At 36.2% G+C, this 27,786-nt stretch overlaps 1 protein-coding gene across 11 annotated transcripts in view; it reads right to left on the reverse strand.

Annotated features, from left to right (window-relative positions):
- The window catches only part of TENM1 (teneurin transmembrane protein 1), an 828,410-nt gene that overhangs the window by 593,912 nt on the left and 206,712 nt on the right, over positions 1-27,786 (reverse strand). Inside the window, exon 4 of one of the 11 annotated variants that reach the window (XM_017029209.3) lies at positions 13,481-13,535. The exons of the other annotated variants lie outside the window; for them this stretch is intronic. The gene's annotated coding sequence lies outside the window, so the exon portion shown is untranslated. The remainder of the gene's footprint in view (positions 1-13,480; positions 13,536-27,786) is intronic. 11 annotated transcript variants of the gene reach the window in all.

Below are 27,786 nucleotides of genomic sequence, written 5' to 3' on the forward strand. Positions count from 1 at the left end.
TCTCAGGGCATTCTTTTTCTAAATGTAAACTAAGGAGATTGGATTATCTCAAAGAACTCTTCCAACTCTAAAATTCTACAATTGTTTATGAAATGTGAAGGGAAGTTTAGATTGATTTGCAAAAAATAAAATGATGAGTATAAAGACCATGTTTACATTAGTTATCATTCCTTCTCCTCTTCCCTTTCTTCCTTTGTCCTCCTCTCCCTATCCCTAGCCTTCTCACACATACTCCAATCTACTGTAGCATAGCTGAACTAAAATATTGTTTTGAATCCATGGACCTGAGTATATATCTATGCACTGGGGATAACCTTTCCTCCACTATCCTTTTATTTTCTTTCCGTTTCTCATTCTTAATCACATACACTGCCCCCTCAAAATGGGAACCTGTTTCCTGGTTTACCCTCAGAAAATACAGTCTGGTCCTACTCACAGCAGATGCTTATAGTTTGGAACTTCCTCCAAATAGTCTCACTCCACCTCAGAAAAATAAATTAAAGGGTACATAGAACATTGCCTAAGGATACCAGGCCTTCATAGCACAACAGATAGAGGAAATGAGGCCACACAGTGCCTGAGGAATAGCTGGCAAAGGAGGATAGTACTCTTTGGAATTATTACAATAATTTTTCCTTAATAAGGACTTATTACATTAATGCAGATTGACTGATTCAGAAAACACTGTATTTAGGAAGCTCTTAAAAGAAAGGTGAAATTCTGACTGATTCTCCTCTTAACTTTCTTTGTTTTTCTAAGAAAGCACTTAAGAAGTGAACTGCTGTGGGTGTGAGAAAATAAAAGCTATAAAAGTACAAACAACAGGTGCTGGAGAGGATGTGGAGAAATAGGAACGCTTTTACACTGTTGGTGGGACTGTAAACTAGTTCAACCATTGTGGAAGACAGTGTGGTGATTCCTCAAGGATCTAGCACTAGAAATACCATTTGACCCAGCCATCCCATTACTGGGTATGTACCCAAAGGATTATAAATCATGCTGCTATAAAGACACATGCACACGTATGTTCATGGCGGCACTATTCACAATAGCAAAGACTTGGAACCAACCCAAATGTCCAACAATGATACACTGGATTAAGAAAATGTGGCACATATATACCATGGAATACTATGCAGCCATAAAAAAGGATGAGTTCATGTCCTTTGTAGGGACATGGATGAAGCTGGAAACCATCATTCTCAGCAAACTATCACAAGGACAGAAAACCAAACACCGCATGTTCTCACTCATAGGTGGGAATTGAACAATGAGTACACTTGGACACAGGAAGGGGAACATCACACACTGGGGCCTGTTGTGGGGTGGGGGGAGGGGGGAGGGATAGCATTAGGAGATATACCTAATGTAAATGACGGGTTAATGGGTGCAGCACACCAACATGGCACATGTATACATATGCAACAAACCTGCACGTTGTGCACATGTACCCTACAACTTAAAGTATAATAATAATAAAAAAAAGTACATAATCACCTAATCTCCCCCATAATCCTACCAGCCTGTAAGAGTGACTACTGTCATTCTGGTCCATTTCCCTTCAGTCATAATATGCACACAAATTTCTTCATGTTGCTTCCTTCGCGCTAGATGATTTTTTGCATGCTTCTACACAATATCTGTAACAATCATTTTTAGTGGCTGGGTAGAGTGAAGGCACAGTAATTTACATATGCATTCCCCAATTGTTGGCTATTTACACTCCTCCCTCACCATTTACAAGTATTATAACTGAAGCCATATAAAGATACCATGAACATCTTCAATTTTTTTATTATTATTTCCTTACAGTAAATTCCAAGAAGTTGAATTAATGAGCCAAAAGCTTTGAACATTTTTGTGGATTTAGGGGATTGTAATGATTTACACTGCCATTAGCAATGTGTGGGAACACTCTCTTCTTTCATTGTACCCTTGTCAACTTTGAGTATTATTTTTAATGTCTATTTAAAATAAGTAAATTAATTGTGCTTTTAGTTTGAATTTCCTTATTAGTGAGGCTGAATACTTTTTCTGTACGAGTTTGCTAGTTATATTTCCTTGCTTATTAACTGTCTATTTATGGGGCTTTTGCACATTTACCTATTGAGAACCTGAGTTTTAAAAAAATTAAATCGGGCTAGGCGTGGTGGCTAACGCCTGTAATCCCAGCACTTTGAGAGGCCTAGGCGGGCAGATCACGAGGTCAGGAGTATGAGAACAGCCTGGCCAACATGGTGAAACCCCGTCTCTACTAAAAATACACAAAGTAGCCAGGTGTCTTGGTGGGCTCCTGTAATCCCAGCTATTCGGGATGCTGAGGCAGGAGAATTGCTTGAACCTGGGAGGCATAGGTTGCAGTGAGACAAGATCGTGCCACTGCACTTCAGCCTAGGTGACAGAGCAAGACTCCATCTCGAAAAAAAAAAAAATTAAATCATATTGATGCCATAAAACAAGTATATTAACCCTTTATGCATAGTATTTGTTGAAACTATCTTTCACAGTCTGTTTGCCATTTTCATTTTTGTTCTTTTTGTTGATGAATGTTACTCTAAAAGGAAAACATGGTCACCAACTGGACATAAACAAGTTGCTTTAGAAAAATATGACAAAACTTTGTAAAACCAAGAGTTTTTCCAAAAACAATTTGTTAGTCTAATTATTCAGTGGCTGCTTGATTGACTTCATTTAGTTAGTCAGAAAATGAATTATAGTTTGATTGAATTCTAACACTGAAAAAGAACACATCAGTTTGTGTGTGATGACAGCTTACATAAGCATATAAAGCTTAAAGGACTAGTCTGATTTTATCATGGAATTGGTCAGTTCTTTTGGTTTCACGTGGAAACAGCCATAACATTTTAGTATATAAAAAGAGAAGTAAATCACCACTTTTTAGGAGATGGGCTGAGAATTTTATGTACTGAATATGGGACTTCTTCTCCAGAAAATGATGGCTTTCAAAGTAGACTGCTTGCATGGTACATAGACATTCTATTATGTCAAAGAGATAACACTCAAGAGTTGAACTGAAATTATTTACTGCTATCTTAGTTTGTTTTGTGCCATCTTAGTTTGTTTTGTGTTGATATAACAGAATACCTGAGACGGGCTAATTTATAAAGAAAAGAGATTTATTTCTTACAGTTCTGGACACTGGAAAGTCCAGGTCAAGGGGACACAACTAGTTAGAGCTTTCTTGCTGTGTCAATTCATGATAGAAGGTAGGAAAGCAAGAAAGCCATCTTGAGTTAATTTTTGTATAAGGTGTAAGGAAGGGGTCCAGTTTCAGTTTTCTGCCTATGGCTAGCCAGTTTTCCCAATACCATTTATTAAATAGGGAATCGTTTCCCCACTGCTTGTTTTTGTCAGGTTTGTCAAAGATCAGATGGTTGTAGATGTGTAGCATTATTTCTGAGGTCTCTGTTCTGTTCCATTGGTCTATATATTTGTTTTGGTACCAGTACCATGCTGTTTTGGATACTGTAGCCTTGTAGTATAGTTTGAAGTCAGGTAGCATGATACCTCCAGTTTTGTCTTTTTGCTTAGGATTGTCTTGGCTATACGGGATCTTTTTTGGTTCCATAAGAAATTTAAAGTAGTTTTTTTCTAATTCTGTGAAGAAAGTCAATGGTAGCTTGATGGGGATAGCACTGAATCTCTAAATTACTTTGGGCGGTATGGCCATTTCCATGACATTGATTCTTCGTATCCATGAGCATGGAATGTTTTTCCATTTGTTTGTGTCCTCTCTTATTTCCTTGAGCAGTGGTTTGTAATTCTCCTTGAAGAGGTCCTTCACATCCCTTGTAAGTTGTATTCCTAGGTATTTTATTCTCTTTGTAGCAATTGTGAATGGGAGATCTCTCATGATTTGGCTCTCTATTATTGGCATATAGGAATGCTTGTGATTTTTGCACATTGATTTTGTATCCTGAGACGTTGCTGAAGTTGCTTATCATAAAAAAGGATGAGTTCATGTCCTTTGCAGGGACATGGATGAAGCTGGAAACCATCATTCTCAGCAAACTAACACAGGAACAGATAACCAAACACTGCGTGTTCTCACTCATAAGTGGGAATTGGACAATGAGAACACATGGACACAGGGAGGGGAACATCACACACTGGGACCTGTCGGGGGAGTGGGAGAATAGGGGAGGGAAATACCTGATGTAGATGATGAGTTGATGGGTGCCACCATGGCACATGTATACCTATGTAGCAAACCTGAATGTTCTGCACATGTATCCCAGAACTCAAAGTATAATAATACTACCACTACTACTACTAATAATAATAAAGCAAGAAAGCATAAGAGAGCAAGAAGGCATCAAAGTTGCTTTTACAACAGACCCACTCTCTTGATAATGAACCCACGCTCATCATAATGGCATTAATCCATTGATGGCAGCAGAGCCCTCATTTCCTATTCATCTGTTGAAGTTCCCACCTCTCAACACTGTTACTTTGGACATTAAGTTTCCAACACATAAACTTTGGAGGACACATTCAAACCATAACAATGGCATTAGTTTACATGTATTTGTTTAATCTACCTGTTCTATTAACATTTTAAAACTATTACAATGGAATAATAAAAGGTCCATCCTGCAAAAATATTCCTTCAAAACTGATTTGACTCAATTGCAAAAACACCTGCAGTCCATATCCTCAAGGTGTTTTGGCAGGCTCTTTAGGACACTTTAAAAGAGAAACATGGAAGTTGCTTAATTCTACAATTAAATAGCGATGATCTCACATCTCTTTTTGTAGATTCTTGATTTTTCTGAATGAATGTGTCTTTATTTTTCTCATTATTTTTGTTAAAGCCTCAAAACTTTTCATGGACACCAATGTTGGATCACATGAGACAAGTGGAGAGGTAAAAAATTAGTGAATGGAAAAGTTGGTGGTGCCACTGATTTCCATAAAGAAGCTCTAACACAAATTATTTTGGAGGCTTACTCTCATTTAGTATTTACCATTGCTGCTTAGGGAATCTTGACTCCAAATGTACCCCATAGATACCACACACACACGTCTGAACAAAATTCTCAGGGACTGACACTATATATATATATAAAATAATTTTGAAGATTTATTGAGTATTTCATATGATCCCATTAGATAAATGGCAACAGCTTAGTGCCTCCCAAAATGCGGGCCCAGGAACTCTGGTTCATATCTCAAATTCATTGGAGCAGAAATTTTTTGTAACGGTGTAAATACCTAGCATATTTCTATCCCTTAGTAATTTGCAAATAATATACAGTTCTGAGTTGCAGTAATATCCATCTCCATCACACCCTTTCTTTTGGAACTCCAGCACCTTCTAAAGTAATTTCAAATTATCTTTTTCTTATTACTTCTCAATATCCTTTGTGGTGGATTATGTAGATCACCTAAACACTTCATATAGGAAACAATCTTCAAGGAAACTGAAGGTAACTCGATGTATAAAAGCTTTTTTACTCTTTAGAGAAGAACAATAGCTGCTTATTTCCACAAATAAACAATCATATTCAATTCATTTTTCTACAATGAAATCCATTGGGGTTTTGTAAATTTTATAGTAATTTTAGCATTAAAGTACTTATGCAAAATGTAATATCAAATTTAATACAGTATCTTGAAAAGTAATAGGCTTTAAATATGGTCTTATACAACCAAAGATATAACTTTCTTCTAGAGTTTCCAAATAGCAAGTATTAATCATAGCTTTCTACTGCCATTCGTCTTCAGCATTAGCTTAGTGAAATCAACACTGTATCTGTAACCTCCTCAAGTTTCATGTATAACAACTGGAAGCAGTAGCATTTCTACTGCTTACTACTGGAGACTCATTTTCAATTATGCTAAAGACTAGACTGAAAAGGAGCTAATCAAATTAACATAACATATTCAACAAAGATACACACCCTTTAGTGACTTAATCGCAGAGGTGGATACAGAGGTTAACAATGATTGTCGGGACTTGTACCAAATATTTTGCTGTGGTGGGCAAATGATAACTATGCCAAAGGCAGCAGACTGTATTAGAAAGATCTGTATATAAGGGTTCTAAAAGGAAGCTCTAGACCCAACTTTATGACAAAATAGCATTCCTTTATTTCATATCTGTAAAGTGGGGAAATACCTACTATCATTATTTTTATGAATCTCACAGGGTTGTCATGGCTAGCACATGAGAATAATTAGACTGGAAGTTTTAAAAAATACAAGTACCAGAGGAAAACTTCTGGTATAGGTTAAAGTTGTCAGCTTTCTTAAATACTACTACAAATAATAATTAGTAATATTATTTAATACTATACTTAGTTAATATTAATTATAACTAATCATTATTTTTATCAAAATTAAAAGAACTAGAAAGAAGATACAGGTACTCTTTTAAGCAACTTTCATCCATAATCACATTTAATCCTCAAAAATGTTATAATATGTTTCCTTATTTTACAGATGAGGAAACAGAAGCACAGAGAGGTTAACTAATTTCACCAAGATCACACAGCTAGTGGAGCTAGAATTTAAATCCGAAAGTTCTGGCTCCAGAGCCTGTACTCTTAATTTCTTTGCTATGTGGCAGTCACAGAATCTCTGAAATAAGGTTCAAAGGAAGCTGGAGGAATCACTGTAGGAAACTCAAGTAAGACTTTCAGGTGCAGTTTGGAAAGAGACTAAGAAGACTTTAGATCCTACAGAGCATCTGAAAAAGTATTTGGCCTTGCTTATATAACAAAGAAAATAAGCTTCTTGGATAAGAATGGCATAACGAGGCCCAGAAAAAAGGGAATCTATATCCAGTTTCATTCATAGCATCCTAAGATCCTAAGATGCTATGAATGAAACCAGAAAAGCTATGAAGACATGGCTGCTCTGCAAGGTTATTAGGTGTCAGTCTATAACACAATTCCCCCTACCTACCCTATTTCTCACTTACTACATAACCAGATGAAAGAGGGCTAGAATTGACTTGATGTTGTTGGGTCAATGTGTAATCAGTTTGATACAGATCTCCACGCCATTCCAGGCCACAAGCAGGAAATTTGCTGACTTCCTCAGCCTCCCTACCAGCAAATATTCAGGAAGAACATAGCACAAATAGAACTGTAATTTTCTCCTTTGTGATTCCCTCTTCTAATATCCATATTTTCATATTCACCTACATGGCATAGTACAATGTAATTGCAAATGGGTTGCTACCATAGAGAGTAGGGTTGGCATAATGTAGCAGAAAGGACATTGAACTTGGAGTCAGGAAGTCTGAGCTTGGGCCCATTGTGTCACGTACTGTATGCCATTGGATAAATCAGTTAACTTCCCTTCCTTTTTCATACTAAAGATTAAATGCCCTTTCTCCCTCAGAGTGCTGGCAGATGACTCAAATAAAAGAATACACATGAAAAGGCCATGTAAACCGTAAGGCATTTTATACAGTTATGATTACTAATACCTTTTGTGATTGTAAATGTATCAAAACTAGGCTGTCTGTTGTTTTGAGAAAATATCATTCAGGGAGTCAATGTTTATGCCAGATGTTGTGGGCCATACCAGAATAACTAAGTACTAGATCAAATTACTGAACTTGTTGCTTTGTTTTTGTTGTTGATATGTTTACTGTTTGTTTTTCTAAATAGCATTATTGAGTTTAATTTTCATAAATACAATTCACCCATTTTAAGTGTAAAATTCAATGATTCGGGGTTCATTTACAGAGTTGTGAAACCGTTACCACCATCCATATTTGAAACATTTCCATCACCCTAAAAATAATTCCTAAATCTAGTAAGCAGTCATTCCCAATATCCCTTCTTTCCCAACCCCTGGCGACCACTAATCTACTTTCTGTCTCTATGAATCTGCCTGTTATGGACATTTTCTGTAAATTAAATTAAGTCATACAATATATGGTCTCTTCCACTTGGCTTCTTTCACAATGCTCTTGAGGTTTATCCATATTGTAGTGTGTATCAGTATTTCATGTCCTTTTAAATTTCTGAATATATTCCTTTTTACATGTTGTGTTATTCTGCCCCTTTCTCTGTCACCTTCTGGGACTCACATTATGCATGTGTTGATATGCTTGATGTTGTCCCACACATCTTTGAGGCTCTGTTTAGTGTGTGTGTGTGTGTGTGTGTGTGTGTGAGAGAGAGAGAGAGAGAGAGAGAGAGAGAGAGAGAGAGAGAGAGAGAGAGAGAGATCTTTTTCCTCTCTGTTTTTCAGATTGGATAATATCTACAGATCAATCTTCAAGTCAGCTGATTGTCTCTTTTGCCATATTCGATCTGCTTTTGAGTCTCTCTAGTGAATTTTTCATTTAAATTATGATACTTTTGAATCCTAGAATTTCCAGTTAAGTCTTTTCATAATTTCTACTTCTTTCTTGAAAATCAACAATTTGGTCATTTTTGTCATACTTTCCATTAAGCCTTTATTGATGGTTTATTTTACTAGTCTGAACATATGTATAATAGTTGCTTTGAAGATTTGTCTGCTAATTGCAAAAGCTGGAGACACTCAGCGACAGTTTATATTGACTTTTTTGTGGTTTTACTGAGGATGAGTTATACTCTTCTGTTTATTTGCATATATCATAGTGTTTTTTAATGTTGAAAACTGGACATTTTAGATAATATAGTATAGCAGCTCTGGATTCTGATTTTTTCTCCCTGAAGGTTATTGTTACATTTTGTCCATTAGTTTCTTTATGTAGTCACTTGCCTGGGCTATATCTGTGAAATATGTCACTCTATGGTATGTAGCTGCTGATTTCCTTTGTCAATTTTTCTGTCACATTCTTTTTAAGTCTGGTTTCCTACGGGTCACTCCTGTGTCCTTGTAGCATTGTGGCTGGTCAATGATTGCGCAGAGGTTGTGCTCACCCATCTTGAGCAGGTATGTGTTCTATTCTCCGACAATGGATCTGTGTGTGGGAATGAGAGCTCACTCAATGTTGATGCCATCTTCATATTTGCCCTGCAGCTTTTATTATCCACAGGGCTTTTCATGTCTCCACTGTGTTGACTAGCAGTGTGTGGCTGGCTTAAGCCCTCTCAGGTAGTTCTCCATTGTCTGCTGCACATAAGCTCAGCCTCAGTCAGAAACATGCTTTTCCCAGTCACAACCACAACCTCAGGTTAGCAGAACTGCTAGCCTTCCCCACCGGCCCAAGTTTGAGACTGTAACATCTACCAACAATGGCACTGGGTGTGGGCATCATTCACCTCTTCACAAGTGAACCATTTTCAACCATGCCAATGCAGCTACAATTCTTACAGCCTGCCCCACCACAGCAGAACCTTGGCATTGGCCAAGCTCAGAGTTGAAGGTGGGGATCATGAGCAGTCCCAGGCCTAATCATCATAGATTCCCACTTTTATTACCCACAGTCCAATAGTTTATTGAAATACAAATGCTTCTTGGATTGTTGTAGGCCTTTGGTTGATTTCCGGGTACTTAAGTGTCGTTTTTGTCAATTCGTTGAGCTTCATAATTGTTTTGGGGAAGGTCATTGTAGATTATCTCATTAGACTACAGTCAGAAGTTCTGCCCAAATAACTGATGTTTTAATGGCAGGATTTTATAGAAGTGCTATACATTGGGGATTTTTTTGCTTAAGATTTCAAAGACTTAGTAAAAAAATGTAAAATGTTTCATTAATAATTTTATTTTGATTATATATTGTTATAATATTTTGAATATTCTGTTAAGTAAAATATATTTTTTAAATTAATTTCATGTGACTTCTAGAAAATTTTAAATTACATATAGGTCTCAGATTGTATTTCCATTAGGCAGCAGTAAACTAGGTCTCATAGCCAGCTTACAGGAAGTACTGGAGATGGAGAAACATATCAAATAATGCAGTGGGGATAGAAATAGCAAAATACAGAATGTGAGAAAATCCATAGGAAAAAATGGCCGAGTTTTTAAACAAATAATTGAAAAGAAAAAATAAAAGAAGGAAGGGAAATATGAGGATCATAAAAGAGATTTAAGAGACATACTAACAAATTGTAATGTGTGCATCTTCTTTGGGTTTTCATTTCAACAAAGAAATGAAAATACTATACACATATTTATGAGATCATTTGGGGAAATGGGAATGTACAGGATATCTAAAGATATTAAAGATTTATTGTTCATTTTTAATGTGCAATATGGTATTGTAGTTAGGTTAAAGAAAGTTTTTATACCTTGTTATCACATGCTAAAGTTTTATGGATGAAATTATATCTTGGATTTACTTCAAAAATTCATGGAAGAGGCTGGGCTTGGTGGCTCACACTTATAATCCTAGCACTTTGGGATGCCAAGATGGAAGGATCGCTTGAAGCCAGGAGTTTGAGACCAGCCTGGCCAAGATAGCAAGACCCCATCTTTAATAATAAAAAAAAGTCATGGAGGAAAGAAAGGGGAGTTGAGTGGCTTGTAGGTGCAGCAATATGGTTTATGAGTTGAAAATCATCCAAGTTATATGACTGATAAGCGCTGGGTTCATCTAATTGTGTGCTTTACTTTGGTATACAGATGCTCTTTAACATATAATGGGGTTAACTCACGATAAACCCATCATCTGTCAAAAATACCATAAGTCGAAAATGCATTTAATACCCTGATAAACCCATTGTAAAGCTGAAAAATGTAAGTTTAAAGGTCATAAGCCAAGGGCCACTTGTATATTTTAAAATATAGAAAATAAAAAGTTAAAATAGTTTTGGATAGTATCTGATGATGTAGGAAAACACTAGAAAACAATTTTAAATAAAAAATATGATAAATTTAATAATGAAAATTATGTATTTAATAATGAAACTAAATTTAAAAATGAAAAAATGTTAATATTAGTTTCATAGGAAGAAGGGGTTAACTTTCTATTAAATTCTCTATAATAAACTGTTTAGAATTTGTGATCAGAAAAATAGAAAAATCCCTCACAGACAGGGCTTATTGCCAATCATTTGAAAAAAAATACTGAAGAGAAATGCACCAAAATATTTAAATAGCAATAATCTTTGTGTTGGGTGATTATGAATGATTTTTATTTTCTTTACATTTTTCCTATTCTCCACATTGAAGATGTATTGTTTTTTATCATAAAATAGCAATTATAAAAGTTTTGGATGGAAAATTTGAAATTTGTACTTTCCTCTCTGTTCTTCCTATCCATGTTCATATAGATGTGTGGTATTCAGCCATTCATTAGAAAGTATATATTAATAGTACCTTGTACTTTGCAAAGCACTTTAGACTTTTTCCAATATTGAACTTTCACACACAATATTATAATTTATATGCCTGATACCCCGCTGACATAGCAGATCAGAAAAATATTATTACTCTGACTTTCAGATGAGAAAACAGAGGCTCAGATATTTGCCAAAGGTCACAAAGCAAGGCAATAGCAGACCTTGGGCAAAAACCCCGGTTTTATTACTCCTATTCTGGCACTCTTTTCACTATATCATGTTGCCTCCCATAAAGAGTATCAAACTCTAGATACTACCCATTTATCAAATAACTAACTTAAGCCCAACTGAATTCAAGTTAGTTACATCAATTAAATGTACTATCCATTTTACTTAACTGCACCCGAGAGCCATGTGCAGGAAAGAGGCACTCAGATGAAATAACAGGGAGGAAGCAGTAGAATTTTGTGACATATGGCATGCTTGTTGGTGGAATCAAAGGTATGTTTCATGCCAGCTTTTTGTCTGCAAAGTGTCTTTCATTCCACTAAGAGGTATACCCCATGCCAGGAAATGCACAACCTCCTAGCCCTTTCTTTTGAAATCTAAACCCATGGGAGCGTGGACTTGGCATGACTTAATGGAACACTGAATGCAATATGTTTGACCCATTTGTGGGTACAAACTCTCCAGATTATCTACTGTGAAGAAGGACTCTAGGTTGTCATCTAGATTCCCTATCAGCCCAGGGAAAGTGGAGATGCCATTGAGTCTTAGGTTTATCCCTGGTTGGAGAATATGGTTTTATAATTTCAGAGAATGAAAATAACCTCTGGGAAAGAAAATAAAAGCAAAAACAGGTGCAGCGCACCAGCATGGCACATGTATACATATGTAACTAACCTGCACAACGTGCACATGTACCCTAAAACTTAGAGTATAATAAAAAAAAAAAAAAAAAAAAAAAATGCAGGAAATGAGAGAATGTCTGCCCCAGACATAGCAGCGTGTGGTAGCGTGATTTTGTCTAAGGTGAATACTGGGTTCATACCATTTTAAGCATTTTTTTTTCTTTAAGCTTCTCTCTCTCATTAGAAGCCCATTTTCTCTACGTGTAAAACAATGGAAGTATTGCCCGAAAAGGTAAAGTGTTGTGCATCTACGTGCTAACTTTTCCAGAGTTAACTCTAAAAAAATGTACTAAGTAGTTTTTGAAATTAGACTCCACTATGCATCTTAATACATAAAAGAAAATGTGAAAAAAAAAAAAAAAAAAAAAGCAAAAACAGGAAGCAACCAAGTGAACTAAAAATGTTCCACAAAAGCAACTAAGTTCTCCTATGCAGAATAATATCTTTGCACTTTTTACCCTAGGGGGTTGTAAACCAACCCCTCCAGCTGACCCTAGTTTAGCCCAAAAGATCTAATCTTCGCAAGAGTGTCTACCTCTTATCCAGCAGGGAAGGGAGATGCCAGAGAGCAGGGCACCATGGGGTATTTGAAGAAGACATCTCTGTAGATTTTTAATGATATAAAATTTACTTTGCTGCTACAAGAACCTTTGCTACCAGCTCAATAGACACTCTCAGGAAAAATACTAACTTAGAATGAAAACCTCATATTTAAGTGAGAGGTGAACTTTGTGAGAGACATGGGCCTTTTATTTTAGAAATATCACTGTCATTTCAGATGACTTGGTCCTCCAGTTGATATTCTCAATCTTATTCATTTAGTAAATCTTGCCTTACATGCCAATGACTCCTACTAGGAAGTTGGTTTGTATGAGGGAAGAAATATTTTTTACTTCATTCTAATTGCAGATGTTTAGTTGGCTAAAAGGAGTATCAGTCCCTAAACACTTCTATTACAGAAGAATGAGAAGCAGAATATTGGAGAAATCTTTTGAGTCCAGAGTGAGCTCGGTTCTACTACCAGTTCCTCCATTCACTTAACCTCATGTTTCCTCTTCTAGAATAACAATATCTACCTTGCAATGTTGATGTGAGAATTAACAAAAACACATGTTGTATGTCTTTTGTAGCAAAAAGTTTGAAAGTACATATATCACCAAAGTATTAACAATGGTCAGATAGTAGAATTCTTAGGTAGATTATTAGATGGTGGCACTAAAGGTAGTTTTTTTATTGTTCTCTTTTTACTGTCTTTTTTTTTTAGACAATGAACACATTCTAACATTGCAATGAAAAAGAAATACACATACTATTTTAAAGTAATCTATGTTAAGTTCCTACTCTAGTGTGGAGCACACAATAAGCACTCACTTCCTCATTGTTCGCTGCCATTGTTGCGATCATTAACATTATCATCCTCTTCTTCCTATTGTTGGTGAGAAAACAGAGGCTTAGAGAGAATAAGTAGCTTACTTAATTCCATATATCTTGGAAGTAAATAAAGTGACTAGCACGCTGCTTGAAGTATACCATATATAGACACATTTCTTGAATCATGAATAAGTTGATCTGGTAGAGAAAGTGACCAACCCAAACTTGGCCAACACATAATAGGCCCTCACTGAATCAGACTCCTGAAACCGTAACAAAATTTTGACAAAAGGATAGTGTATGCAAGAAGTGATATGAAGTTTTTTTGTTGTTGTTTGTTTTTTGAGACAGAGTCTTGCTCTGTCACCCAGGCTGGAGTGCAGTGGTATAATCTGGGTTCACTGCAACCTCAGTCTCCCAGGCTAAAGCAATTCTTGTGCCTCAGCCTCCTGAGTAGCTGGGATTACAGGCATGTGCCACCATGCCCAGCTAATTTTTTGTATTTTTAGTAGAGACGGGGTTTCGCTATGTTGGCCAGGCTGGTCTCGAACTCCTGTCCTCAAGTGATCTGCCTGCCTCCGCCTCCCAAAGATTACAAGCATGAACCACTGTGCCCGGGCAATAAGTGATATGAAGATTTGAAGGACAGATATATAATCACATTAAAATAAAAGAAGGAATTTCCAATAATAAAAAGTAAATAACAATGCTATTCAATAATAATTTACTAATTATCATAGGTTATAACCAATAACCAGAAAAGGTTTTGTCTGATATCACCACCTTCAGTCTCTCTCACAATCATGCATGTATGCATGTGTGTGCACGCATATACATACACATACAAGAAATCCCTTTCTCTTACCTCTTCAGAATTATCAGTGGCTTCTTGTTGCTTCCAGACTGAATAAAATATTCTAGTATAGTGCCTTCCCTTTATTACCACTCCAAATCTATTCTTCTCTTTCATCCAAGGTTACTTGATCTGTCTACATCCTTTTCTCTCATGTCTTTTCTAGATGTCTACCTGTCAACACTTTATTCAAGATGATTAATGATTAATGACTAATTGGGACGAAACGGGTTATCTCTCCCAGAACAAGTTAATTTTTTACAGAGGTCATCTGGAAATTCAGCGTCTTTGTCTAAAGGTATTAATTTTTAGTTTTGAACTTTTAGGTCCCATAGTAGACCATTAAGGAAGATATCTTCTGACTGGAGAGTGCTTTCCTTTGTTCTCCCAAAGTCAAAGTGATTCCAGCAATCACTGATTTTATGGGGTTGAGTTCTTACTGAGCCTGATTCTTTGACCTTCAGGGCAGAGACAGAATTGGCCTAAATCTTTATGGAATGGCTTCTGTGGATTTAACATTAAGTGAAGAGAATTGAGCTCATTTCTAGATAGAAGCTAACAATGATAAATTCTCTCTCCTCCTCAGCCTTGGATAGAATCAGTGTTATATCACTGGTAGCTGGAACATGTGATTAACACTATTGAATAGAATAAGAATTTGGAATTTCCTATTAATTGTAGTATTCATGTCCTTATATATAAAATTCCTCTAATAGGTTTCACTGATACAAAGCTAGGGCTCCTTCCCACTCTGCCAACATTGTAGGAGTGCTGGAGAAGCTTCTGGCTTCAAGTTGCTAAACAAGAATTGGTATTTCTTGAATTTTCTTGTTCACTGAGTCCTATTTGGTGTTTGTTTCAAATATCAAAGGTTAAAAATGTCCGAAGTAACTAACTCTGACCCTTTCGTCGTCAACAAAGCATATGAATTACAGTCAACCCTCAGTGTTCTGGCATTCTGTCATCAAGAAATATCTATTGACTGGGGATTCAGCCAATACTCTAATAATTATTGCTAATGATGACCCTGCTTAACAGCACAAACTGGAAGTGCCTTCTGAAGATTCAAAGAAAGACTATAATCCATTCACTGTAGTTTTACATTTAACTATAGTTCACTAAATTCTTACTCCTTGGAAGTGATGCAAAGCATACTCTTTGATTAAGCAGAGCACCTGATCCTTCAATCTTGCTAAATTTATTTAAAAATACAAAGACACAGATCTTTGAATCACCCTCTAGGCCCACTATAACTTTCTTTGATGCAGTGTCACCTTAAAGCACTTATTCCCAGGCAAGTATGACTAACACATGGGTAATATCCACTATGTTGAGCGATAAGTAGTCATTTATATCTTTAGGGTATCCTGACATCGGAATACACATAAGCTGACAAATGTAGCATGAGCGGTAATCATTTACAAACTACTTGTCACAGAAAATCAACTAGGTGTGGGTTATCTTTTGGCAGTGGGGTCAGTGTTTTATATAATATGTAACCTGTACCTCAAAGTGCATTTAAGAAAACATTATAAACACTAATCAGCTGCATTTGATTTATAAATCAATTTAGAGTTCACAGTTTAAGGGAAAAAAAACTAAAAACAATAGACATGGTCTCTGTGCAATGTAATTAATGTTTGGGAAGCAGTCACTGGGGCACAGCATAATGAGGCTGACAAGTCAGTAGCTCTGACATTTCTACACAACATCACGCTCAAACTTCATTTTAAAAACCGGCAAAAATTAAACGTGGCACATCAACTGTCGTGAACTGCAGTGCCAGTTGGTGGTGGGGGAGACAAAATCTGGTCATTAAAAGTTTGCAATGTCTAACTGATAAAACGTAAGTTAGAAAGAATGGTGTACAAGCTGACACACAGGGAAATATAAGGAGAGGTGTTCACTATTATTTATTTGAAATAATAATAGTAATAATAGGTCTATTCGAAATCAGAATTATCTTAAGAAATTATTTCATATTCTATTTTCTGTATTCCCTCATCCTTGATCCCAAGACCTTTCAATCAGTAAAAATAAAATATTAAAATATGTAATGGCTTTGGGAGGGGCTAGACAATGGTATCACAGCATATACACTTGAACTGTTTTCACAAAATTTTCAAGCATGATGATCAAGTTTTCTCCTCTTATTAAAAAATGAAAGTTGCTACTTTCATATAACAATTAAACTGTATGCTGAGGAAGAAGCTGAAAGACCCTTTAACTCTTTCAAGCATGAAGGCCGCTATCCTAAGGTTTAGGTAATCATAGAACACTCTCTTTGAGGTGAGCATTTCTTATGAAATACTGGCCATGATTCCCTCTGAATACAGCACAATGTATTGCACAACAACCTTAGAACCAATCATATTATTTGCAGCCTTGATTTCTTATAGAAAACTTAATATTTAAAATGACTTTTCTATGGAACAAGGGCTTTCCCGTGGATGTGTCTCAGATCTCTCAGAAGTAGGACTTCTTTTTTGTTTGTTTGTTTGTTTGTTTGTTTGAGATGGAGTCTTACTCTGTCGCCCAGGCTGGGGTGCAGTGGTGCGATCTCAGCTCACTGCAACCTTCACCTCCCGGGTCCAAGCAATTCTCCTGCCTCAGCCTCCTGAGTAGCTGGGATTACAGGTGCAAGCCACCACATCCGGCTAATTTTTGTATTTTTAGTAGAGACAGGGTTTCACCATGTTGGCCAGGTTGGTCTTGAAATCCTGACCTAAGGTGATCCGCCTGCCTCGGCCTCCCAAAGTGCTGGGATTACAGGCATGCTCCACCATGCTTGGTCAGAAGTAGGACTTCTTAAGATGCTATATGACTTTACCCTGGTCACTGGAATTAACTGCATACGCCTGCACCACCATTCCTTCACCACATCCTTCACCTATCCCTGGGTTCCTTATACATCCATGGTCTCTGGCGTGCTCGGAGTTTTCCTATGTTTCTGCCAGAATATGTCTTACCTTTAGCTCTCAATAATTTATTTTTGTATGCTAAATTGAGATCCCATAATAACAATACTAATCACCATACTCAATATGTAAAGAATTCCAATAAGTTCATGATCACAAAGTCTCTGTGGTTAGCCAAATTATAAAAATATATATGGCTTTCCTCTTTAATTTCAGGTTATAATCTGACTTCTATAAATCTACCCTAATTAAGTAATACAAAATACGGGGAAAAGTTACATATATGAATATGTTCATCTCAGCCTTGTTTCAGAGAATTGAAAAATAGGAAAAATCTATTGGGTCAAAGTAGGGAAATAGTTATATGTTATTACAGCCACTAAACTGAATATTATGTCATCACTTAAAGTGAAGGCAAAGAAAAATATGTAGAAACTTGAAAACATGTTTATGATACAATGATAAGTAAAGAAAAAATAAATAAACTATAGTTTAAAACTAAGTTGAAACAAATCTGTGTGTTAAAAGGACCAAATAGAAACACACAAGAAAGGACCAAGTGAAAATACAGTATAATGAGACCAGTTAAGATGTTGACACTATGGATGACATATATTGACCACATGTTCTGCATTTTGTGTGTGTGTGTGTGTGTGTGTGTGTGTGTGTGTGTGTGTGATTACAAAATTTTTTACCTTTAAAATGTGGTTTGGGACTATCTTCAAATCCAGCTGAGATTTTATGCTTCTTAGCTACTTTAACGTTTCACTCCTCAGGATTTTAGAACACATCTAAACCTTGAACTCTAGATTATTAAGTCAAGCATTTACATTGATACCTGGTTCTTACTTGTTCTTCAAATAATCTGAATATTACTGCATTTTACCAGAGTTGAAAGGTGTTAGGTATTTTTGGAGTCAAGTACAAGATAATAGATTGCTTCTTATTGGTAACAAAAATCAGTAAATAAAATAAAAGTAGTTTATACACAAAAAAGGTATTAAGCCTTTTGTAGTAATTCGGGAAAGACAGAGCAGTGATTATAGAGGGGAGAGAGAAATAAATACCTTGAGATTAAGAAGTGCTGGCTATGGAAACTAAAATAGGATACATTCATAGTTATACATTATTCAGGCTTGACCAATTTCTAACTACCACCAAATAAAGTGGAAGAAATATCAGGAATGAAAATGGAGACATTGCTAAAGAACCTTTAAACATTTAGGAACAACTTTGTAGCAATAAATTCAACATCATAGATGGAATTGATAAATTCTTCTAAAATTGACAGAACTGGCACAAGAAGCTATATAAAATCTAGTTACCCCGTATCTATTAAAGACATTGAATTTGTAATTTTCAAACCAAATCCAAAAGGGAACTTTTGAACTAGAGAATTTCACTGGTCAATTCTATCAGACATTTTAAAAGTTCTTACACTGTTTCAGAAAATAACGGAGAAGGAAATATTTGCAGATTATTTCACCAGACCAGTATAACCCTGATACCCAAATTTAACAAAGACATCACAAGAAAAATAATTGTATACCAATATCTGTCATAAATATAGGAAAAATCATTAATACACTATTATCAAATGTTATGGAGTAACATATAAAAAAGGGTACTAAATCATAACCAAATACGGTTTAGCCCAGGAATGAAAAGTTGGTACAACATTCAAAAAGCAATCAATGCCATTCACGTTATGGAGAGGATAAAAGAAAAAATATTATATGATCACCTCAATAAGTACAGAAAAACATTTGACAAAATTTAACACCCATTTATGAATACAACAACAACAAAAAACCTTTCAGCTACCTGGGAAAAAAAGGGAACTTCCTTAACCTGTAAAGGCTATTTAAAAACTTATAGTTAACATCATACTGAATAATGAAAGACTAAAAATTTTTTCCCTAACATCAGAAACAAGGAAGGGCTATCTGGTTCACCGCTTCTATTCAATATTGTACTAGATGTTCCAGACCACACAATAAGGTGAGCAAAGGAAATAAAAGCAATACAGATTTTTAAGAAGGAAATAAAGCTGCCATTATTTGCAAATGGCACAACTATTTATATAGAGAATCCTAAGATGTTGAGAATTAGCTACTAGAACTAATTGGGAAGGCCAGAGGATTCATGATCAATATATGAAAATCTGTTGTATTTCTATTTATTAGCAATAAACAACTGGAAAATAAAATTAAAAATGCCAATTATAGCATCAAAAAGCATAAAATATTTTTAAAGAATTAACAAAACTGCAAAGACCTCAATGCTAAAAAATATGAAATATTACAGAGAAAAATTAAGTAAGATCTAGTTAAATGGACAAATACACCATGGTCATGGATTGGAATATTCAACATTAAGAGGTCAATTGTCCCCAAATTGCCATCCTAATAAAAATTACAGAATGCTTCCTTTGTAGAAACTGACAAGCTGATTCTAAAATTTAGGTACAAAAGCAAACGGCTTGAAACACCCAAAAAATCTTGACAAAGAATAATATTGAAGGATTTACACTACCTGATTTTAAGACTTATTACAAAATGTCAGTAATCGAGAAAGTGTGGTATTGGTGTAATAAAAGATAAATAGATCAGTGAAACCAAATGGAAGCAGTTTCAAAAAGAAGTCTTCTGCAGGAAAAAAAAAAAAGTATCTGAAACCTCTGATCTGGCTTGATGATATATGAGACATATGAGATATATTTATTTATTAATAACTTTCACATTCCCATTGTACTTTTCACAGTTTCTGGTGTATACTTTGTGTTCGTAAAACATTTGTTGAATAAATGACTAACTTAAGCATTCACACTATGGCAATAAAGCATTTGGCAGCTCTTTCATTAAGTATCTGTGATAAATGGCATCATCTCGTTACTTGAAAATAATCTAGTTTCATGGAACTAAAAATATATCACTTTTGTATAAAAGCTGACTATGTGCGTATGTCTCAGAAAGTTGAACTTGCTAAAATTTTTAAAATACTCTGGTAATATATTTCTTATAGACCTCTTAAAGAAACATTTGACTAAAATGGGGTATACCATGGTGAGTTAAACTGAGGCCTTCTGGATTAGAAAAGGGTACAAAGTGAGATTTTTTTTTTCCTCTCCTGAGATATCATATTATTTGCTCCCCTTCCCAGCTTGAAAATAAGAACTACATTCAGTGTGGCATACTGTAAGCACTGCAAACAAACATTTCATAATAATACATTTTGGACATATTTTATCTCAAAAACAATTTCAATTCAAATCCTAGATAATTAATCTTATTTTCAGCACCATGCATCTTATTAGGCTTAGCCATTTGTTTTTGCCCCAAAGGGCTTGAGGTTTTGCTCTAGAGAATCAACAAATCTAAAATAACACTAAAAAAGAACAGCAATAAATAATAATTCTGGTTTTTAAAAATTATTCATCAAAGCTGGCATAACACATAGGTGGAGTAGGCAGGTGCCCATATGGTGTCACTTCTGAGACATACATAATATCACCTTCTCCCACAACTGCAGCTGGACACTGATTCTGGCTTTCTCACCCTCAAGATTCATTCCTTTGCCTTCAGGGATTATCTCCAGAATTGCTCCATTAAAATGCAAATACGTTATATAGGAGGGATGACACATTAACATACTCTCAGTAATTAATCTGCTGCTATCATCCTATCAGGATTAATTTATCGATTGTCCAGCAGAAATAAGGCGCTGAGGACATCTAATGTAGAAAAGATACAATTTAATGTGAGTGAGGCTAGGGAGGAGCTCAGGTATTCTAGCCTAGGTAGCACTCCATGGTCGGCAACTTTGAGTAGCAAGGGAACAACATTTACTCACTTAAGTAGCAAACTCCCTTGAGTGCCTATGACAGACACTGTGCTAGTCACTAAGGCCATGAACAGGAATAAATTAATTTTTAACCTTACTCAGAGACAGAGAAGAATTAGGTGCCTGAAGAGAACCTCAGATTTCCTATAGACAGACTGAAGCCATATGATTGTGCATTTGTTGTTGAACAGATGAATCTGAACTTAATCTGATATCCTGCCATGTTGGGGAGAAGGAGATTGAAAGGTGATATGAGAGAAAGGCAAAGGTAGATTTTACTCTTACTTAGGAGCTTCATATAGGACCAGCCCTGGACACACTGATACTTTCTACTCCTCTGTGTCTTCTCTGAAACATATTTCCTCCAAACAAACCATGCAGCAACCATCTCTTCTTAAAAGAGGAGTAGCCAGTAGAGGGATTTTGTAATGTTCATAGTGGGAGACTGCTAAGGTTGAGGCAAGCACATCACACCACAGATAAGGCCATGTACACTAAAGGCTAGCTATGCCCTTCTTGTGGATCCATGTATTTGTGAGTGTGAGTGGGATGTGTGTGTGTCGGGGAGTGGGGGAGAGAGGGAGAGAGACAGAGAGAGACAGAGAGACAGAGAGAGACAGAGAGAGAGAGAAGAGAAAATTAAAATTCATGTAGCAAGTGGTTCTCAGGACTACATTTCTATTATAATTTTCAGCCAAATGATGATGCAAAAAAGGGGAATTTGTACTACTTTTCCTGCTCTGATAATGATAGGATACTTAATTTTTTTACTCCATATTCTTCTAATATAAGCAGTCGTGTCATTAACCCCACATTTATCTTCAATGCTCCCACCCCCATTCCTGAACCTGGGACTCTAGGACCAACGAATTAGGCAAGTAGAATAATATAAAGGGTATAAGTGACTCAATTGTCTGACATCAAATCAGCTTTGCTGCTAGACTTGTTCTGAGCCTATAACCTCTATTAGTATTTCACCATTGTTCCTTTAAAATTAAGTCCCATCCTTGATCCCAGTTCCAGGAACCAACTCCTTACCTTGCCTCTTTGTAAATCCCTTGCTTAAATCTATCATTCCTCCAAGCCTAGGGTAACACACTCACAAAAGTCCTTCTAAGGAAGGGAAATCAGGCTCCAAACCTCAGGCCCCATCATCTCCTGACAGAGCTAGACCTGACATTTACTGACTACCAAAATACCTGAATATCTGCTACTGGCCTTCCCTGAAGCATGCTCAACATGCTTACTAGGTTTTTAATTTACTGCTGGGCTTCCTTGAGGATAATCACAGGTCTAAACTTCCTCCTGCTCCCCACTGCCAAGACTGTCCTGGATCTTTGTAATGCTCTGCCTAGCCCTCTTTCTGGCTTCCAGATTTTGTCCACTCTTAGTTTGGGCTCCCCTATTGCTGGTCATGTTTCATCATGATAGTGTTGGGGATCAGAAAACAACACCCCAAAATGAAGGCCTCAGAAGCAGCCTCATAAGCAAAAGCTTCTCTCTGACCTTCTCCTGCCCTCCTGTCTCTTAGTCCCATTCTCCCCGAAGACTAGTCATAGAAACTAGAACCCCTGTTCTCCAAGGCAGGTCAGAGAAACAATAACCCCCTTTCTCCAAAGCCAGCCATAAAACCTAAATGTGTTATTGTAACTTTCCCTCTTCCTTTCTGTGTAAAAACTGGCTATGAAGAAATTATCTGACCTATCTCGGTTGACCGTAGGTTATAAGACCCTCATTCCAGGGAAGGACCTGCCCAATACCCAGAAGGAAAGAATGCATGCTCAAAGAGGACAAGAAGAATCTGGACAGACAGACCATGCTGGGCTTCCCTGCTCTATTTCTATTAGCATTGTATCATATTCTTTTATTGTCAAGTTATATATATACATGGCTATTTATCCTTCATTGAACTGGAGAGTGTGCTCTGTATCTTTGGGTCTTCATTCTGAAGGCTGCCATATATACATATTAAATACATTTGTATGCATTTTCTCCAATTAATATGCCTCTTGTTAGTGATTTTCAGCAAACTTTCAGAGGGCCAACGAGAAAGCTCTCCCTTGGTCTCTAAATAGACAAGACTAGTGGCTTTGATTCAGTGCTATAGCTAAAACTTCTGCTCATAACCAGTGTAAGCTAAGACTTGACAAACTCTCTGCTTCTCCCCTCCAACCATCTCCGGTTAGAGTGTTCAATAAATATTAAATAACAATAATATAGCATGGGAGAGAAGGTATCTCATTAAATAAATCATGGAAATGTCAATCTACCTGTCTCAAATGGAAAGAATTTCATGAAGAATATCTTTGGCTTTAAAGCTTAGTTTTCTTATATTCATTCATAACAAGCTGAAAAGAATGGAAATGAGCTAGTATTTTATAAGAATGAATTATGGGTATGATTCGATTAAAATTTTTACTTTTTCCTGAGATAGTCAATTATTCACCCAATTGCCGTAGTCTATATACTCAGAAGCCTCATTTTGCATACTTATTATATAAGTCATGTTCAAACATGGTTAACCCCTGATTATCCCTATTAATGTTGAGGAGTAGAAAATCATTTCATCCAAAACAGCATATTATTCAAACCCTATATGTACTGAGCTTTAGAAGTACATTATAAGATGCTTCTACCCTACCCCCGCACGAATATTCATTGAGGAGTGCTATAGGCAAAATATATACCAACTGAGGATGAGAGGAAGCTACTTCAGAGAAATATTAGGTGACAAGGCCAAAGACAAATGAGAATTAAATACAGACCACCCACAAAGTTAAGATTAAGTATAATCTCAACAAAAAGTTAACAAAATTAGTAAATGTCCAAAACATTCATTAAGTGAAAAAAGTAGATTATAATATTTACTATATAATTTTATTTCCCTAAATGCATACGTGTGCATGCACACACACACACACACAAATACACACACACACAAATACACACACACAGCATCTCCATTACTGGGCTGTCCCACTAGTCATACTTGATGCCTCAAGACAGTGATAGTGGCAACATCCATGACTAACAGGAGGCAACATCAGCAATAACAGTAACTTCTACTCAAATAGTAAGTGCTTAGTATAGCCCTATTTTCATGATGATTTTTCTGATTTGCTTTACTCAGCTTTTCCATGGGTGGGTCAGCCATATTCTCCTGATTGTCATCCCTTTTGTTGGTGGCAGGGTCTACTGTAATCATAATACATATAGGTATATCCCCCTCAAGTCTACTATATCAACTAATTTTACTGATTTGACTCATTAACTCATGACACAATCAATTCTTCATTTAATTGACTGACTTTTTTTTTTTTTTTTTTTTTTGGCAATTGACCAAATCAATTGGCAGGTTTGTGTTGACATGGTCTAAGGATTGCTATATCTGGATAACTGAGGTTCAATGCTTTAGTCCAGCTATAACAGCTGAGTGAAGTAGTTTCAGTCCACAAAACTAAAAATACTATCCTTCCCTTTACAAAAGAAGTTTGCCAAGCCCTGCTCTAGAAGAGATCTCAGAGGTTCATTGTCCTTATCTTATAGATTAGGAAACTGAGGTCCAAACAAGTTAAAAATAACTGAAACTCAACATATCTGATAAAGAAATTCATGACCTCTGTTACCCTCCTGGCCGTGACAAAACAATCGCAGTTCTATAGTGTTCTTCATTTCAAGGAATGACACACCATCTACCCAGTTAAATGAGCCTGAAATCTATGAGTTATCCTTGACAGTGCCCTCTTGATCACCTCTGCATCGAGTCTAGGCTCCTCCAATTTCATATCTTCTCTATTGAATCTTTCCACTTCTCTTCACTGCCACTATCCTTGTTCAACCTGCCACCATCACGTTCCTGAATGACTGCCACAGTCTCATAAGTGATCTCCATCCTTCTCTGGACACTTTCTGATTTGCTTTTCATACTGTAGTCAGAGTTATCTTTTCAAAATTCAAATCTTATCCATCATTTCTCTGCTTGAAACTCTACAAAGGCTTCCCACTGATCTTAGGATAAAGGGCAAACTCTTTTAATGTTCGTAAAGGCCCTATACAATCTAGCCCCTGTTGATGCCTGCAGCCTCACTTGTGCCATTTGCCTCTCCACTCCTTCTACTCTAACCATTCTGCCTTGCTTGCAATCCTTTAAACTCATCAAGCTCCCTCACACCACAGGGCCTTTGTACATGCTTCTCTTTTTCCTAGAACACTGTCCCTCCTCCTTTGCTTAGTTTACTAATCATAATTTCCTCAGGGAAGTAGGTTCTGACCTTCCTAACTATGTCAAATCCTCATATTATATGCTTTTATATAGCGCTGTATCTTCCCTTCCATGTACGTACCACAGGTATAATAATACAGTTTATATGTGTAATTATTTTAATACTGTCTGTCTTTACCACTAGACTGTAAGTTCCATCATGGCAGGAATCTTGTCTATTGTATTCTACTGCCTCAATACCCAGCCCAGTGCCTTGTTCTTAGTTCAATAAATATTAATTTAATAAATGAATGCATGAATTTCCAGAAGTTCACACAGTTAGAATCCAAGTTTCCTGAGTCCTAGCATAGAATTTTTCAAGGCACAATGCTGCTCCTATTTAGGCCAACAACACAGGATTGGGACATTTAGCATTTTTCTATTTGTTGGCTACAAACTAAGCCCCTAACTTCTGCCAGATGCTACACGTATGCATCGAATTTTTCACCAAGGGGAGTATATGAATGCATCAGCAATTCAGTCCCACTACTACAATAATAAATCATATGCCTTGAAGAAGGTGAGTACAGATTGTTGTTATTATCATCAAAGTAGTATGTATGTTAATTTTAAAAGGAAATATTTGAGCACTAACCATAGAAGGAAAACATGTAGTGCTGTTATAAGCATATTTAAGTTCCTTTTGAAAAAAAGTTTCCCAATACTTTCAATTTGCTGACCTGGGTTTCTGAATTTTATTTTTCTTTAAAATACCTACAGTTTTCATAGAAACATCACAAATAACCTTTCATAGACTAAGTTGTTACTCATTTGGAAGGAAAAAAAACCAAAGAGAACACTATTCTTTCTTGAAAAAATCCAAGTTGAAATATGTGCACTTTATACTTTTTAAGCTAAGTGAAATAATAAAGAAAATTTATGAAATGCTCTTCTGGAAAATCTACTTATGGAAGGTTTTTATTTTAAACCAATAAGTGGACTTTTAATAGTGAAATCTGAGAATTGTGCATATTCTTTAGAAAATCCAAGTTATAATCCTGAAGTACTATAATCATCTAATAGGTGCCTGATCTTTCAAATTCTTTAATCCTTCTTCACATTAACTTTCTGACCTAGCTTTTTGCAAACACTCCTAAGTCCCTGAAAATATTTTCATGACACAAAACCGTAATTAATTGAGGTTGCCCTATGTTAGCAACTAACTTACAGATGTAGTTGGGTTCTGAGTGGTTCATAGGAAAACGTTTGTCTAATACAGCACTCCTAAAAATAGATATTCCAGTTGAAAGTCCAATTTTATTTTCTGGATTTCAGGATTAGAAACCCAGCAGCTGCTTACCAACAGATTCCATGTTAAATCAGGAGGGGATTTACTGATTCCATTACAGCTAAAAGACATATGACTAAAAAAAAAAAAACCACACACACACACACACACACACACTTTTATCCACCCAGAATAATATAATTGCAGCTTCAAATGAAATTCAACCCTATATTTTATTCATCATAAAATTTCCACATCCTCAGAATCTCCCTCATGGTAGGCAATATATACTCATCAAATAAGCAATTTCGAAGGTACAGCAGGCTAATCAACCTCTTGAGCATAGATCAGTAAGTGTTTTTTATAAGCTTAGCACTGTGTCAGACACTATGGAGGATATACATCAAGAGAATGCAGTCCTTGCCCACTTGGCCATCATAATCTTGTTGAAAAGATCTACCCATGTGAAACATTTATCAACTAGTACCAGCATCTAGCACTTAGCCCCAAAGAAATTAAAGAAAAGAGAGAAAGCGAAGTGGATGCTATAGCACAAGGAAAACTTCCAAAGAAAGGGTGAGATTTCAGTAGACTTTAAAAGACGGTGAAGACATCAGCTTGACTAAAGTACAATGGGGAAGGCCTGGGAGAAGGAAGAATATAACTGATTTATTAGGCTACTACCATGTTCAGGGGACGTACAAGAGATTTTATGAAAGGATAAGGCAAATCAGGGCCAGATTATGGAAGGCCTAGAATGCCCAATTAAGAAATTTGAATTTGAGCCAATAGCAATTACAACTGTATTCCAATATTCCTCCAAAGCACAGCTTTAGTTGAGAGTGCCATGTCTATGGCCCTGAGATACTGTTCATTCCAACTCTTCAAAGTGAATGAGCTGAATTATGGTACAGAATATAGTAAGTATAATTAATTAAAGGAAGAGGGCCTTTTAAATTTATATTGGGGCAACTGGATGCTCAACTACAGAAATGAAATCCAAATGGCAGCAAATAAATTGGATCACAGAAGAGTCCAACCCAGATTAAATAAGGGTCCTCCTAAACCTCACTTTAAAACCAAATGTCAAGTATCGACAAACACAGATGTACATAGTGATTTGGCTGTTTCATTACTTTGCATAATGAGAAATCTCAAAACAGAACATTACTCTGCAGAGACAAAAGATCTCAGTTTAATGTG

The sequence above is a fragment of the Homo sapiens genome, chromosome X (genome assembly GCF_000001405.40).
Source record: "Homo sapiens chromosome X, GRCh38.p14 Primary Assembly".
NCBI classification, from domain to species: Eukaryota; Metazoa; Chordata; class Mammalia; order Primates; family Hominidae; genus Homo; species Homo sapiens.